General features: G+C 38.3%; 1 protein-coding gene across 2 annotated transcripts in view; it reads left to right on the top strand.

Annotated features, from left to right (window-relative positions):
• CFAP54 (cilia and flagella associated protein 54) overlaps window positions 1-17,813 on the top strand; it is a 385,979-nt gene that overhangs the window by 191,192 nt on the left and 176,974 nt on the right. Inside the window, exons 41-46 of one of the 2 annotated variants that reach the window (NM_001367885.1) lie at window positions 1,374-1,568; window positions 3,880-3,967; window positions 4,261-4,470; window positions 8,148-8,214; window positions 10,360-10,542; window positions 12,954-13,040. In NM_001367885.1, coding sequence (NP_001354814.1) covers window positions 1,374-1,568; window positions 3,880-3,967; window positions 4,261-4,470; window positions 8,148-8,214; window positions 10,360-10,542; window positions 12,954-13,040 — 830 coding nt within the window. The remainder of the gene's footprint in view (window positions 1-1,373; window positions 1,569-3,879; window positions 3,968-4,260; window positions 4,471-8,147; window positions 8,215-10,359; window positions 10,543-12,953; window positions 13,041-17,813) is intronic. The other variant, NM_001306084.2, reaches the window with a different exon arrangement.

Here is a 17,813-nt window from a genome sequence, read left to right on the forward strand (position 1 = left end):
TAATTGCTCCATACATTAACAATGGGTAAGGCTGACTGGGCGCCGTGGCTCACGCCTGTAATCCCAGCACTTTGGGAGGCCAAGGAGGGCAGATCATTTGAGGTTAGGAGTTAGAGACCAGCCTGGCCAACATAGTGAAACCCTGTCTCTACTAAAAATACAAAAATTAACCGGTGTGGTGGCGTGCACCTGTAATTCCAGCTACTCAGGAGGCTGAGGCATGAGAATCACTTGAACCGGCGGGGCAGAGGTTGCAGTGAGCCGAGATTGTGCCACTGCACTCCAGCCTGGTGACAAAGCGAGACTGTCTCAAAATGAAACAGAACAAAACAAAACAGAAAAGCACCCCCCCACACACACACACAAAAAGTGGGTAAGGGCATAAATAAAAAGGCAAATGCAATTCCTAGGAATGGTTTATACCAACTCGCTCTGAATCTCACCTGGTACCAAAATATTTTCAGTAGTTTATCTCTAGTCCTCAGGCTGTAGACTTCAAAATCTATACTAGCTTCTTTCTCTATTACTTTTAACTACTTCCCCTAGAATATAGATTTTTCTCTTATGTCTTCTCTGATCTTATAAAGAGACAAGGTTTTTCCTTTTTTTTTTTTTTTTGTCTCAGGCCAGAACTACCTGTGTGTTGCTTCTATCCCAGAGGTTTCTGGCCCAGAGGCACACTAACACCTTACTGTTGGAAGCTATTTAAAAAAGGCAAACTCAAACTATGCAACTTCCACCAGTCCCCACAAGAAGCAAAGCTTTATCTCAATATTTGCTTTCTGGCTGACAGTCCTCTGTAGTGCTTTTTTTTTTGGATGGAGTCTTGCTGTCTTGCCCAGGCTGGAGTGCAGTGGCGTGATCTTGGCTTACTGCAAACTCTGCCTTCTGGGTTCAAGCGATTCTCCTGCCTCAGCCTCTGCCTCCTGGTTCAAGCGATTCTCCTGCCTCAGCCTCCCGAGTAGCTGGGACTATAGACATGCGCCACCACGCCCGGCTAATTTATTTTTAGTAGAGACGAGGTTTCACCATGTTGGCCAGGCTGATCTCAAACTCCTGACCTCAGGTGATCCACCCGCCTCTGCCTCCCAAAGTGCTGGGATTATAGGTGTGAGCCATTGTGCCCGGCCCCTCTGTAGTGCTTGTGATGAGATAACGCAGACATGGAGCCTATCCACACATACCTAGGGTCTTCAGTTATGATCCTGGATACTAAGTTTAAGGAAATAGTGTCCCTCAAACTGCAAAAATGTCTCAGCTATATACAAAATATTTCCTTTCTTTTTGCTTTCCATTTTCTCTACCTTCCCTCCCAACTTCCCTTCTTTCTACATTTTAAATTGATTTATTATTATTATTTTTCATGAATTTAGGAGAGAAAGGAGAAATAAATGATTCAAAATGTACTTCTGGAAAGGTGGAATTTTGCCTGGGGACAGAGGAGATGCATATGTCAATACCCCCTGACCTTTCTCAGGAGCACTTCAGAGTTTTTAGTTCCGTGGAGAAAAGCAAACTTCCATATTCACAACTTGGACTTGTAATTTCTTCTTATCACCAAACTATTGGTAAGAGTTAGCCATTATGTACTCATTTTCTTTAAATTTTTTTTTTTTTGAGACGAGGTCTCATTTTGTCATCCAGGCTGGAGTGCAGTGGTGCCATCACAGCTCACTGTGTGATCACAGCCTCAACCTTCTGGGCTCAATCCATCCTCCCACTTCAGTCTCCCAAGCAGCTGGGACCACAGGCTCACACCACCACACCTGACTAATTTTTATATTTTTTGTAGAGATAGAGTTTTGCCATGTTGCCCAGACTGATCTTGAACTCTTGGGCTCAAGCTATAAGCCCACCTGAGCCTCCCAAAACGCTGGTACAGGAGTGAGCCACTGTACCCGGCTATGTCTCCATTTTCAATATGATCTTCTGCATTAATGCTGAGATTGCATCTGGTCCTGAAATCTTACTTTTAAAAGAAAGATAAAAGAACCTATATCCCTGCAGCAGTGACAGAACAGCCTGGAGACAGAAGAAGCTTCCAGCCTCCTCTGTTTACCCATTTTCTTAGCTTGTCCATCACTATTGTGAGATTCTAGGCCACCCTTCTCTTTATCCCTCTTTCATTGGAGCTGTGAACTCTTTGTGGGGATGGAGATGATGTTCTTTTTTTCTGGTCCCATCTAATTCCATTTTCCTTGTCTTTCCCTTGATTTGCTTTTCTACAGCTTCAGTAGTATATTCTTAACCCATACGATAGACCCAATGTTCTCTTTTTTCCTAACAGACATTTTATGATGCCCCTTTTATTTCCTGAAATAAAATTTGTATTTAATATATTCTTCTTATACACATTATTTTGAAACAAATTATTATGAAGCTCTAAATATAAAAATAGGGGAGAAATAGCATCACTTTATAATAAAAGAATCAGTTTGTTGGTATGTAAATGCTTAGGCATTAGAAGCTGTAAAGAAATAATCAGATGCTTATATCCTGGATATGGAATCACCATGAATGTGACAGTTACACATGCAGACAGAGACAGGTATGTTGTATTGGTGACTCAAATACTATCAACATGGTTAAGTTTTGTGACATGATTTTCTAAAATGGCAAATTAATCTTGGTAAAGTCCTGAGCAAAACAAAGTACTACAGTGGTTGCAATGTCTGGAAAATTCAGAAATCATGTACATTTAGAAATCATGCAGAAATACCCTTTTTATGTGGAAAACGAAGTTCGATGTGAATTCAGATAGTTATAAACAGGCTTATCATCTTTTCCTTCACTGTAGGGGAAGTTTCTGTGCCTTGCAGGCCATCTGACATCTTTGGTCTTAACCTATGAGTTACCAAGAGATGCCCCCATTGTGACATCTAGCAAAACCCTTTCTCACATTTCTAAAATAGCCTCTAGAGAACAGCATTGTCCTCATTAGAAACCACTGCCATGTTGGTTGGGGTTTTTGGCTACACATCCCAGAATGCATGCATTCATTAGAAAAAAAAAATTGTGTGATTTTGTTGTTGTTTTTTTTTGAGATGGAGTCTCACTCTGTTGCCCAGGCTGGAGTACAGTGGCACGATCTTGGCTCACTGCAACCTCCACCTCCCGGGTTCAAGCAATTCTTTTGCCTTGGCCTACCAAGTAGCTGGGATTACAGGCATGTGCCATCACACTTGGGTAATTTTTGTATTTTTAGTAGAGACGGGGTTTCACCATGTTGACCAGGCTGGTCTTGAACTTCTGACCTCAGGTGATCTGCCCGGTTTGGCCTCCCAAAGTGCTAGGATTATAGGCATGAGCTACCTTGCCTGTCCAATTATGTGATATTAAAGATATTTTCTGCCTTCAGGTAAAAGGAGAAATCTGATATGTGGTGATCTTGTCACATGTCTGCTAAAAAACAAACCCTTTGAGCCTTTCCATCTGCTATAGGATAACATCCACATTTCTCCAAGTGGCAGTCAGAGGCCCTCAGAATCTGACCACTGCCTCCCACTTCAGACTCAGTTCACCCTCTCCAGAAAACTATACTCCAGTCATGCCCATCATTCCTATACATACCCAGCCATTCTCCCTTGCATGCCGTTTCTAAGTTTCTCTTCTCCTGTCTCTACCTGTCTGAGTTTTATTCCCATGATGCCCCATTATTACTATCTGTTAGAGCCAGTCTTTCACTCTGTAATCAAACAGAACGTTTGCTCGCTCTCTTTGTATATATATCGTGTGACATTTGAAGGCGCTGTTAACTTGCAGTTTGCTTATTGCAATCTACACAGTTAAGGAATAGTGCAGTTTAAAAAATTCTTGCAAATATAAAAAAATATTTTTCTAGGAACTGACATTTGTTCTTTTACTTGATTAAAAATATAGATGTTCTCCAAGCCAGCAATCAAAGAAGTCTTAAAGTTCAGGCGTTGCATTCACTTGGAAGTCTTCTCATCTTCGCAGAAAAGAAAAGGTAGATTTTTAGAAGTCTGTAGAACAAGGGCAAAGGTTTTTTATTTGCTTGTTTGAAGAAGTTTTTAATGAAAAAACATTGTCTTTCATAAATTTTAGTTCTTCAACAATACTACATTGCTACATTTTATTCATCAAATGCTACCTGAGAGAAACCATTAAGAACAGTGAATGTATTATAGTTATACGTATGTTAATTGACGTTGCTTCGGTGTATTTGCTTTCCCTTCTGGAAGATAGATTTAATAATGGGTCTCAGAAAACTTACTGCTTGATGCTTTGTCTCTGTTTTAGGGCTGCTTTTAAGTGTTGGTGTCAAGCTCTTGATGACATATTCAGAAAACCAGACGTGCTACACACGTGGAAAGAATTTGGCCCCTCACTCACCAATGTCACCAACAGTCATTCACCTCCGGGTTTCAAAGACTACAGTGAGGAGTTTCTGTCAAGAGTTGGCATCTGGGGGTGTTTGCAAGGAGCAGTCATATCAGCAAAGATAGCACAGTGAGTGTGAGGATGGAAGGATCCCCGTACTAGCTAACAGCTTCCTTGTGGGGTGCCCTCCTGTGCCATACAAAGTGCTATGCCTCATGCACACTGGATTTCTGGGAGGTTATGTCCATATCATACAGGGCCTTACAGTTTATTTACTTATTTGTGATGTTTATTGCTTATGATTATCTCTTCTTCCTGTAACACAACTCTTGCCCCAAAATATCAGTGTCACCCGGGCCCAGGTGTTTGCTTTGCTTACTCATGGATCCCAAGTGCCAGATATGCAGCTGGCATTCAATAACTACTTGTTTTTTTTGTTGTTGTTTGGGTTTTTTTTTTTGAGACGGAGTCTCACTCTGTTGCCCTGGCTGGAGTGCAGTGGCTTGATCTCAGCTCACTGCAACCTCCGTCTCCTGGGTTCGAGATTCTCCTGCCTCAGCCTCCCGAGTAGCTGGGATTACAGGTGGCCACCACCATGCCCAGATAATTCTTTTGTATTTTTAGTAGAGACAGGATTTCACCATGTTGGCCAGGCTGGTCTGGAACTCCTGACTTCTGGTGATCTGCCCACCTCAGCTTCCCAAAGTGCTGGGATTACAGGCATGAGCCACGGCGTCTGGCTCAACAATGACTTGTTGCGTGGTCAAATGAATGAGCAGTTGGTGAGGAAGCAGGAAAACAGTGTGGAGGCAGTCAGGCATGGGCCTCATTCAAAAGTGTACTAGAAACCAGTTACTTTCAACAAGTTTCACATTCCTTCTGAGCCTCAGTGTCCTCATCTCTAAGCCAAGGTGGTAAAAATTACATGCTATACTGCATCAGTTTGCTAGGGCTATCATAACAAAGTACCACAGACTGGGTGGCTTAAACAACAACTTTGTTATCTCATGATTCTGAAGGCTAGAAGTTGGAGAACAAGGTGTTGGTTAATTGGTTTCTTCTGAAGCCTCTCTTCTTGGCTTGTAGAAAGGTCACTGTGTCCACAGTGGTCTTTCCTCAGCATGTCAATATCCTAATCTCCTCTTCTTATATGGATACCAGTCATATTGGATTAGGGCCCACCTCTGTGGCCTCATTTTCACTTAGTTACTTACCTCTTTCAATGCCCTGTCTCCAAGCATGTTCACAATCTGAGGTTACTGGGTATGTTAGGCTGTTCTTGCTTTGCTACAAAGAAATACCCAAGACTGAGTAATTTGTAAAGAAAAGAGGTTTAATTGGTTCGTGGTTCTGCAGGCTCTACAGAGAGCATGGTACCAGCATCTGCTGGGTTTCTGGGGAGGCCTCAGGAAGCTTTCAATTATGACAGAAGGCCATATTTGAATATGGGAGCCCGCATCTCACATGGCAAGAATGGGAGCGAGAAAGAGTGGGAGGTGCCACACTCTTTTAAACAACCAGATGTGATGTGAACTCACTCATCACCAAGGGGATGGCACTAAGCCATTCATGAGGGATCCACCACCATGATCCTAACACCTCCTGTCAGGCCCCACCTCCAATACTGGGGATAACAGTTTAGCATGAGATTTGGTGGGGACGTATATTCAAACTATATCACTAAGAGTTAGGACTTCAACATATGAATTTCTAGGGGATAGAATTTAGCCCATAATACATACTGTATTAGTGTCCTTTTTGCTGCTGTAACAAATTACCCTAAACCTAGCGGCTTAAAACAAAACAGGTTTATTATTTTACAGTTATAGAGTTCAGAAATCATAAAATAAGTGTGTCATCAGGGCTGTGCTTCCTCTGGAGGCTCCTGGTGAGAAGCTGCTTCCTTATCTTTTCCAGCTTCTTGAGGTCTCTTGCATTCCTTGGCGCATGGCCCCACCTTCTGTCTTCAAGACCAACAGCTGAGCATCTTTCCCCCACACCTGCCTCTCTCTGTCTGTCTCTCATATTTTCTTCCATCTTCACATCTCCTTCTCTGTCTCTGACCCTCCTGCCTTTCTCTTATAAGGGCCATCGTGACGATCCAGGATAATCTTCCTTATCTCAGTGGCCTTAATTTAATCACATCTGCGAAGACTTTGTTGCCCTGTAAGGTCACATATTCATAGGTTCTGGAGATTAGGGCATGAATATCTTTGGGGGACCATTATTTAGCCTACCACACATAACACATGTGAATGTCTTCAAGAATGGCTTACGCATAGCTAGCACTCACAAATATCTGAAGTATTTCAAATTTCTGATTAACATGAGAAATTTGAAAAGTATGGAGGGATTAGAGGTATAGGTTTCCTTCATCTCTCCAGTTACAGTTACCTCTTTAGCTTACCTGTCGGAGGTGGTGAGCAACAACCTGCATAGTGTTTTAAGCTGTAGAGCACACTTAAAACTTAACTGTTCCTAGGTAGTGATCACATTGCTTTCAGATTAGCATCTTCAGTCAGGGAAGTAAGAAAGTACTGCTTTAAAAGTATTAAACGTCAAAGATTTAGACCTCTGTCAAGTTTGATTTTTTTGTGCTCCTGGGATAGAACACACACACGCACACACACACATACAATTTTCTCTCTCTCAACAAAATCTGAGCTTGTGACTTATTGGAGCTTGGCAATTGGGAATGGAAAAGCCAAGGAAAGGAACAGCTTGGAAAGGAACAGCTACAGCCTTCCTGCCAGAGGGCACCTCCGCTTCTCTGAGCTTCTGAAGTTATTACCAAGTGATTTTCAACAAACAGAAAGTCATTTCCTGGTTTCCCAGCCAGAAGTCTGACTGCCATAGGAGATGTCATTCTACGGGGGCTTTGGCTGTTTTCCTAGACTCCCTGAGTAGAGGAAACTCTTCTCCCCGCCCTGTAAAATACCACACTTGAAGATCCACACAGTGAAGCTGAACTGAGGTAGACTACATTAACATTGTTGTTAATGTAGTGAACCTGACTGGTTTTATCTAAGAAAGACTTAGGAGAAGGTAATGTGGTTTGTAGTTGCAAATGTGAATTTTAAGACTCATATATAGAACACTCAAACTCTTCTTCTAAGGGACATAAAATGAAAGAGTTGTAAATGGAGAGACATTAATGTTTGGTGGAGATACTTAATGTTGTGAATGGCTCCATAATAAACAGCTAGAGAGAAAATACAATGCTTCAGTCTTTAGGGGGAATTATTTAACCGCACTCATCAAAAGCCTTTACTGTGCGCCCCCTTTTACCAAAAACTTCCACGTCCAGGGGTTCATTCAGTGGAACCAATAGGATAAGTGCTCAAAAGTGTAGGCATAACAATGTTTACCTCAGCATTGGAAAATGCCAAAGTGGAGATTCATATTTTTATGTTATGGCACATCTGTATGATAAAACATTAAAGTTCTTTAGAATAATGATATAGTTCGTTATGTCTGTGAATGAAAAATTTGTTTATAAAGTAGTATGTATTGCATAATTCTAGTCTTAATATGTATGTATATGTTTCTCCGTGTGTATAATTATATACAGAAAAAGTACATATAAGGAAATTGACTAAAATGTTACTAGTAATCATATTTAGGCAGTAGGATTATAGGGGATTTTTTATCTTCTTTAATATATTTTCCTTCTATTTTCTTATATATTTATATGTATGCATTTTTCTTATACTTTTTGTGTTCTAGATATATATGTAAAGACATTTATATCAAAATGTTTTTGGAAAATTTCTACTAATCAATTTTTTTTTCTTATACTTACTTAGATTTATTAAGTCATTGAATGTTGAAAAGAAAACTGACTGTTGCATTTTGTCTGCGTTACTCTTTCAGGTAACACTCTATGTATGTATGTTTTTCCATTGTAGCACAACCATTCATTGGATCAGTAAAAAAAAGTTTATCATATTCAGAAAACTCACAGGTAGCAAAATAACATGAATCTTGATTAAATATGACAAGCCCGTCTTTCTCTTGCTGGCTGAACCCCTGTGAGACTTTCACCTTTAATTTTTTTTTTTCTTTTTTTGAGACGGAGTCTCACTCTGTCAGCCAGGCTGGAGTGCAGTGGTGTGATCTCAGCTCACTGTGACCTCTGCCTCCCGGGTTCAAGCAATTCTTGTGCCTCAGCCTCATAAGTGGCTGGGACTACAGGCGCGCACCACCACACCCAGCTAATTTCTTGTATTTTTAGTAGAGCTAGGGTTTACCATGTTGGCCAGGCTGGTCTCAAACTCCTGACCTCAGGTGATCCACCCGTCTTGGCCTCCCAAAGTGCTGGGATTATAGGCGTGAGCTACCATGCCTGGCCCACCTTTAATATTTAACAGAGTCAGTTTTCTCCTTTACACTGCAGAAGAAGGAGTTTTACAGATGGGGAAACTGAGTCTCCTGTCATTAGGAAGATCATGTTACTAGTAATCAGTATGAAGCCAGTCTGACTTCAGATAGTTGCCTTAGGTTACCTCATCTCTAAATTCAGTTTTGCTTGGTTATATGATATAAAATCTATCTTATGATAAAGGTGAAAAATAACTTGAAGACTACAGGAGAGGTATGCTTACAGTTCTCAGAATTTTGGTTTGCCTTCACTGAAGAAGAAAGGAGCTTTTATTTGAAATACAAGACATTTTGAAATTCCAAAATGTAACCAGGGGCCTTTGTAATCTACTGAAGGTTCTATTTACTTTGAAGGATGGGCACTCTTGTTCTGTGTATCAGAGAAGTCTCACAGCTTATGAAATCTAAATAAGTGAGTTCTTCAGGAAGGCCTTCTCTGAATGGAAGGCCAGACTTTTCAATTTTCTTATGTTCCTTACGCCTCTTGCCTGGGCTTCAAAGGGAAGAAGTACAGGAGGCAAGGGTGTAAAGGAAATGACCCGACTCTGACTTCTTACGTCGCATTCTTTACTTTCTGATACTCCTTGTTCTTGAAGATAATGCTGTTTATGTTTTAGAAAATATGTGTTTTAACAAATATTTAACTTTCTGCTTAATGTGGACAATATGTGTATTATTTCTTAGTAATACTATACCTAAAATAAAAATTAGCTGGTGGGATTTATTTTAAAAGCCTATTAATTCTTTTTATGGTTTTAAAACAAATTTGTGATAGTAAAAATTTCAACAACTACAAAGTATTTTAGAATAGGATATCTCATGACCTTAATAAGCCATTGGATTGAAATTCTTTCTGATATATACATTAAAATAATTTCATGATGCATTTGTCATTAAGAAATTCTAATTGTTAAAATAACAAAAGAAGCACCCTTAAATGAAAAATGTGTTTTGTGTGTTCATCTTGTTTCTCCAACATCTAGTGTAATGTTGGTTACATAAATTACCAAAAACTAGTGGTCAAATTAAACAATAATCTTTTCATTTAAGCAGGTAAAAGTTTGGAATTACCTCTGCCTGATTGAGACTTCTGAAACAAGTAGTCATTTCCTCTACTTATAGCTTGGTATAGTGGAAAGAACATAGTTTTTTTTTATTTGTTTGTTTGTTTGTTTGTTTTTTAGCTAAATAGACATGACTTTGAATCTCCTTTCTGCCATCGTTAGCTGTGTGACTTCAGATAAGTTGTTTAAGCCTCAATTATATCATTTGTGACATAATAATCCTTCTAAGAGCAGGTTAAAATAACATTAAATGAGATAATGTTTATAAAGAATTTACCAGCAGTGCTTAACATATGATTGACCCTCAACAAAACATAATTTAATATAATGATAATTTCTTTGAAAATAAGAAGTATCCAACTACCATGGAATTTAAAAAGCCCATCTGGAGTGATAAAAGCATTTGGAACCTGTAATGATGATAATATAAATGATAAGTACCATTTATTACAAAGTACAGTGTGCTAGGCATATACTAAGCATTTTATAAAGCAATACATGTATTTATCTTTTTTGTTTCATTATTGAAAATGCTATCTATAGCTCTTTATATTTCACTTTTTTTCATTTTCAGGGTTTGCTTAGAACAACACTTCCACATCCCAAAGCTGAACGTTGCTATGCTCAATATGAAATCACTCAGCTTCTCCCAGGCATTGAACTCTTCTCAGATAGATACAGGGCTGACATTTGCTCTGTAATTGCAAGTCTGTATTACATTATACGTGAACTGCACTTTGTTAGGCAAAACCTAATAGTAAGTAATTTGTAAAATAAAAATTATATATCACTGGGATATTTTGCTCCACTTACCTCATACTTTTAAAATTTTGCTAATGTTCTTTTGGTCAGTTACTGTTTAACTTTTAAACTCTATATATGTGGGATTCTTACTTACACTTCAAACTAAAATGTATTAATTAATATTCTTTCTTTGCATTTTGGATACAAAAGCAGTCTATTTGACTTTTTCTCCTTTTACTGTGTTACTTTATATTTTTTTCTTAAGTTAGTTGGTGAAATTGATCAGAATGCATCACTGATCTCAAACACAGAAATCTAGTGTACTTGTAAGCCACTGCATTAAGTTGTTCAGGTTATATCAATCCCAAAACTGTGAGAGTGTTTCTTTATTGAGATAAGTTTATCTTTATGTCTCTTGTCTTTTCTCTGTCAAGGGTGCATCTAAGAGAAAAATAGGTTCTAAGTATGAGGTAAAAGACAGACATTTCTTAATGTCCTAGGAAATAAAAAATCCAAGTACAGCTCTCCTCTCCTTTGGGGAAAGAAATCACAGTGTATGTCATAAATTTGAAGCTGGTTGCATTAAAAAAATTAGTATGTTCTATTAGAATTGTTGGCCATTTTATATTTTCCTCCATTATTTCATCTTTTTTCTTTCTTTATGTTCTTTCCTTATTTTTTCGCATCTCTTTTTCTCCTTTGTTTGCTTCTTTACATCTATTCTTTCTCCTTTTCTGCTTTTTTCCCTTTCCTCCATGATTTTCATACCTTCTTACTTTTTTCCCCCACATATTTTTTTCTATTCTCTCGGTATATTTGTTCTTCTGAATTCAACTCTCTCTTTATACTGAAAATATTTATTGCCCCCTGATATGAATTGTTAACTTATAAAACCATGTATTAAAGAGATTGATAAGTGCATTTAACACTTGGCAGACTTGGTGAGATATTGTTTATTTTTTAAAAATAACAAAATGGTGCCCCTCTCACTGTTAAAGGGATTCATTTCTGGGTTGAAGAAATAGTTCTATCCCCTGGGTAACCTTTAGCTGCCTAGTCATATTCGTATATAATACATATCACTGTGCTGGAAAAGAAATGAGGTTTTTTTTTTCTCTAAAGCTGAAGAAATTGAGAATGTTTTTCTGAATAATTGAGCAATTGGCAGCAATAAAATGGTGTGTTTTTATTTCTTACTAAAGAAAAGAAACTAAATCTCAAAGGTAATCGCCAACTTTTAATGTTTTGTGCTGCATTAATTGTGGAAAAAGGTATCGTGTTATGTTTGTAGGGCATAGTTATAGAAAAATGTATTGTATTATGTTTGAAATCATTTAAGACCAGTTCTAATCCTTTTAAAAAGCTGTTGCTATTAGCAGCTGCCAGTTGACTGACAATTAGAGGTTCCCCAGGTGAAATTGCAAGAAGTAAACAGTTTCCATTTTGTATTACATTAACCTTCTCCAGAAGAAGCCCAGTGGCTAAGGGGACTTCTGTGGAATATAAAATTTGCTATGTGACCCAGAGCTGTGGAGCTATGGGAAATAGTTTGCTAACTAATGGGGATCCCAATCTCCCTTCCACTCCATCTTCCTTTGGCAGGGAAGGCTACAGTTGCAGGAGCTGAGCTTCAGGTTTGATTTGAGGTCAGGAGCTGTTCCAGTGTTAGGCAAAACTGTCCTCTCCACATCTTTCTCTGGATGGATCGTGGTTGGGCCATTTGAAATATTGATGGTCTATAAGCCTTCACATATATCCATGGGACTTCAAGAGCAATTGAACTTGGGGTGAATTCTAGGAAAATAAAAATATTATGAGAAGAGTAAGCTTGGGTTTTAACCAGTAGAATATACGCTATGTGAAGGCAGGGACTTGTTAGATTTTGTTCTCATTCAACGGTGCCTAACACATAATAGGCATGTTATAAATATTTTTTGTTGATAGACAAATTCTAATTGAAGACAAAAAGCAGCTGGCATTGAAATGAATAAGTAGGATCCAGTTAGGGAGCAGAGATTGAGTTCCTTTGCTTTAAATTTTCCATTTATTTGGTAGCTCATTTGCTAGAATTTTTCCACAGGCCACAGTGATTCATATATTTATGTTGAGTTAATCATTTTCAAGGAAGATAATTGATTAGATTTTAACCTCTTCCTGCTTAAAGAGATGTGCAACCTAGGTTTGGGGTACCAAATGGCATCTACTGGGAACTGTAAGTCTCTGATAGCATCTTAAAGTTCCGATAAACTTATGAAGCATGTGCTAGATAGATTATTTCACTTATTTTCAACAGTATAGTTTCCTAGCATGGAAAGCAAATCAGTATATAACATATCCTATATTTAATATTTGGCTAAATTTGATTATTAGGTTATTAGTTTGATAAAATATATTTTGAAACAAAGAGTGTTTTTCTCCTGATAGGTTCTGCCTCTCCTTGCATTGTATCAATATTTTGTTTCTGGAATTTGTCAAGACATAACAAGAAATCTAGAAGCAAGAATCCTCAAGGTATGTTACAAGCTTTTAAGACATTTGATATTCTTGAACTATTAAGGATATTGTCATGTATTAATTTGATTCTAGGACTTATAATAACAAGCTGATAATAACATGGCATTACACTGATGTAAGAAATAACTTACCCATTATTATAATAAAGTATGAGAAAGAGCCAGTCAGAAAGGTGTAGATTATTTTATGCTTGGGCCACAGTAAAGTGAGGAACAGCTGCACATGGAAATAAGGCTCACCCAACACCAACTGGCCTGGAAATCACCACTTCTGAGAGACTGGCTTCCTGGTGAAGACCAACTGAACCAGATTTCTGAGCTTCTGTGAATTTATTCCTAAGAGCCTTTATGGATATCATGGTACACAAGAATTTTTCAATGCACAGGTAATTGAATTAACAAGATCAGATAGATGCTAAATTACAAAAAATCTTATAATCCAGAAGTCAGTTAAGGTTCTCTGCCTTTGAGATTCATGTGTGATTGATTGGCTTGAACACCACATGGAGTGGGAAGCACCTTGTTCTCTCTGCTCTCTTTCCTAATCACCCATGTTGCCAGCTCCCACTTTTGTTGAATTTGTTTTGTACGTGGATAATCTCAATATCCAACAAATATGCTCCCAGTTCTGTACTTCCTCAACTCTAATATAGAATTCAACTCTATTTTATATCTTACGCACACACACACACGCGCACACACACACACACAACATATATTCACCCTTTTTTCTATAGTGGACTTTACTAAAAATTAGGAAGACAGAGAAATTTAAGTTGAGGCAAAACAAACAATTGAAGATAGAACATTTGGCTTTCTTGAGCTTAAAATCTTTCTTGGCCATCATCTCATGCTTTTGCCTCCAACTGAATGGAGTAATCAGCTATGGGCTGGTAAATGTCACAATTGGCTCTGAAAAAAAAAACCTCAAGGCCAGGCATGATGTCTCACGCCTGTAATCCCAGCACTTTGGGAGGCCGGGGTGGGCGGATCACCAGGTCAGGAGTTCGAGACCAGCCTGGCCAACATGGTGAAACCCCATCTCTACTAAAGATAAAAAATTGGCCAGATGTGGTGGCAGGTGCCTGAAATCCCAGCTACTCTGGAGGCTGACGCAGGAGAATCACTTGAAACTGGAAGGAGGAGGTTGCAGTGAGCTGAGATTGCACCACTGCACTCCAGCCTGGGCGACAGGGCGAGACTCCGTGTCAAAAAAAACAAAAACAAAAAAAAACAAAAAAACACCTCAAAAGTTTCATTTGTGGCATTTTCAATCTCCATCCATGGTGTGAATACTCCCACTATGTCTGACTTCAAGCTACCGACAAGACATCTCTAACGATGGAATCGGGGACAAGATGTGCACAATCAGCTCTTGCAAATTGGAGTGAGTGGGCTCCAACACACCACTGGCTTCATTCATACTTCTGCTTTTGTGGAAATACTCTCTGCGTTTTGTCCCCAAATTTATCCCATTTTCTAATAAGGGAAAATTAAACTTCCATTTGAATTTCGCTTCGTGTCTAAACCCTGCCCTGGGGCCTATATTTTCAGACCCAAATAGTTTGTTGCATGCTATTTCTAAGTAAAGAAATTAAGAATTCTAGTGCTGATTATTAATAATTTTAACCTGGGAATAAATAATTTGTTACTGATCATGAAAATTTCTGAATCACCCTCTCTGAGTTACTGAACTCTTATGAGTTCTCTTGCTTTTGAATTCCAACACTTTTAAAAGAAACTCCATGTAACTTTTCTCTCTTTTTTACAAAAGATAATGTTCTCTTCAATATTGCAAAATTCTTGAGGCTAGGATCTGTATCTTATTCATCTTTTAATTCCCTGCAGTATCTTGAGTAACACATTCACATAGTTGAAATTCAGTAATTAACTATTGAATTTAAAATCTGCAGGCATTTATCAAGTGCCTACTGTCCACTCTCTATAGTGTTTAGTGGGAACTCACCTAGAAAATACTTGGTAGATATTTATTGATGTAACTCTAAAACAACATTTATTGAGTACTTTCTATTTAAAAGCACCATGTTAGTAACTCCAGTCAAAGAAATGTAACCAATGGTCCTTGCTTATAAGGAAGTGAAAACTGAGAAGAAAGACAGAATGTATACCCAAGACAATAATGTTGGTACCTGCCACTCGGTCATTTCCAAATGAGTGTGATGAACACTCTCCAGGAGTTCGAAAGAGGAAAAAATGGCTTTGAATCTTTAGGTTTCATAAGTAGGTAAGATTTAGACTTGAAAAGAGTAGAATTCATGGAGCAGGAGAGAGGAAAAAGGGAACATTTCTTGGCAGTCAGTGTGAAAGATAGGTGAGAAAATATTGACTTGTTTAGGGGGTGGGGTGGTTCAGTTACACTAGAGTGGAGGTTTTGGGTAGGCAGGTTGTAGAAGATAACATGAGTATACCAGAGGTCGATGACATTGAGAATACCAGGGACCTAGTCTTGAATTCCCAACTCTGAAGAGATGTAATTTGGAGGTGGAGCCATGAGAGAAATGAAGAGATTGCAATATCTGAATTGTGTAACATGTACAGTCTGGTCTGTCCTTAAGAGGCAAGAAGCATGAAAGGGTTGCAATGATCATAACTCAACAAGAGGAGATCTAGAGGGGCACCAAAGGACATAATCTGGAACAAAATGGCTAGATGACTTTTTTTTTAATCATATTGTTAGCACTTGGTAGCTGTTTTTGTCCTAGAGTAGCATAAAAACCAGAGAAGAACTGTGGACTCAATTCTGGAGAACTGGGTTGGAGAATTAATTATAGAATTTATATAGAATCTTATTATTTTCTATAATTAATTAATTATAGAAATTGGATCAGGAGAATGACATGATCATATCTGGTATCTGGTAGCAGTGCCAGGAGTAGAGTAAGCAGTGGGATCTTATTGGCATAGTAGGATTGAAAAACCAGACTAGGGTTTTGACAGAAGCAGTGAAAGAGGACAAATGATGGATTATACAGAGGAAGGAATGACAGCCTGTGTGAGCAGAGTTTGCCTGACCTTTCTGAAGTAAACTGGGGTCAGGGAGTTGGAAGAGAGAAAAGTCATAGTCAGGAAATAACATGCAATGATGCTTCCTGACAAATCAAAGAGCAATAATAGATCACACTCTGAAGTTTCTATAGTGCCCTAGTGTCTTTCAGGGAAAGCTTTAAGACCTCTTCATGATCAGCTGGCCTGGCTTCACTTTAGAACTGCCAACATCTTGAAAGATTTGTCACTGTCAACACATCAAACCTAGAAAGGGTACCAATGATCCTATATTTGTGTGAGTGAATGGTTGATTTATGGGTAGTTCTTTTTGCTGTCTGGCTTGTTTGTGTTTGCAGTGTTGGTCACCTCTGAAAATATATGTCCATTATTTACCCAATTGATTTTTCAAATGGTCAGATTGGTATGATAAACTGAAGCCAGAAAGAGTCCATGTTCAGAAATCTTATAGTCAAGACTCAAGGAAACTAACCACATACAGATATGGGGAAGTGTTTCCTCCTAGGGGTAATGAGAAAAATGGTCATCTAGAAACCTGAAAGAGTTTATGTGTCTCCCCTGAACCTCCTTTGATATTATATGGCACTGGGGAGATTAGACCCCAAGGTGTCTTAGGCAAAGACCAAAGTATGCAACTCAATAGACAAGCTATTTTCTCTTTCTTATTAATAATATTTTCCTGATTTTTATATTTTATTTTCATGTTACTTATGTATCCAATTTCCCACTAGCCCACCTTTTTATTTCTTTAAAATTCACACACTCTTGAGATTCCTAAGATAATAATAAATGGGAAACAGAGAGTATGATGGGTGGACATGCTGAGGATAAATGGAGTTTTCTTTTCCTATGTTATGTATTTACATGTTAATCTAATTTCATACTTTATTCTCTGCTTCCACATTTACCCTTCTCTATTCTCTACAAAGTCACTAGATAGCTTTCACAATTTAAGTCAGGTTAGGGCCCTGTCCTGTTTAAAACTCTCCAATAACTCCTTACCACACAGAGAATAACATGCAAAATCCCTACTCTGGTCTTCAGGTTCTACTTGACCTTTCTTGGCCAGCATTCACATTCACCTCCTGACCTCCTCCCCTTGCTCCCTGAGTTCTGCCGTATGGCCTCTACACTAAGGTCCCTTAGCAGATTTTCATGTCTGTCTCCTTTAATGCCATTCCCAAATCTTCTCTTGAAGGTTTCCTTCACAGAGAATTCCTTCCTGACCACAGTCTTGAAAATAGCATTTGTGAGTACCCTGTATCCCTTTGTATGTTGTGTATATCTTCATGTGTCACTGAAACTTAGATAAACATGCATCCCAATGGAACATAACCTCCAAGAGGGCTTGGTACATATGTGGTGCTCCATAAATATGTTGAACAAATTTAAGTAAGAACTCCTTTTTCTATAATTTTCTGATTGATGATCCTGCTGGATTATATTCAAATTAAGCCATATAAAATATATCGCTATAAATTGATTAATATTTTAAAATATATGTATTTAAAATTAACAGTGGCCATTAATTATGGATAAGAAAATTGTTCATTGTAGCACTATTCACAATAGCAAAGACATGAAATAAACCTAAATGCCTATCATTGTTAGACTAGATAAAATGTGGTCTATATACACCATGGAATAATATGCAGTCATAAAAAAGAATGAGATCATGTCCTTTGCAGCAACCTGCATGGAGCTGAGCTGGAGGCCATTATCCTAAGCAGACTAACCCAGGAACAGA

This window comes from Homo sapiens, chromosome 12 (assembly GCF_000001405.40).
Source record: "Homo sapiens chromosome 12, GRCh38.p14 Primary Assembly".
Lineage (NCBI taxonomy): Eukaryota > Metazoa > Chordata > Mammalia > Primates > Hominidae > Homo > Homo sapiens.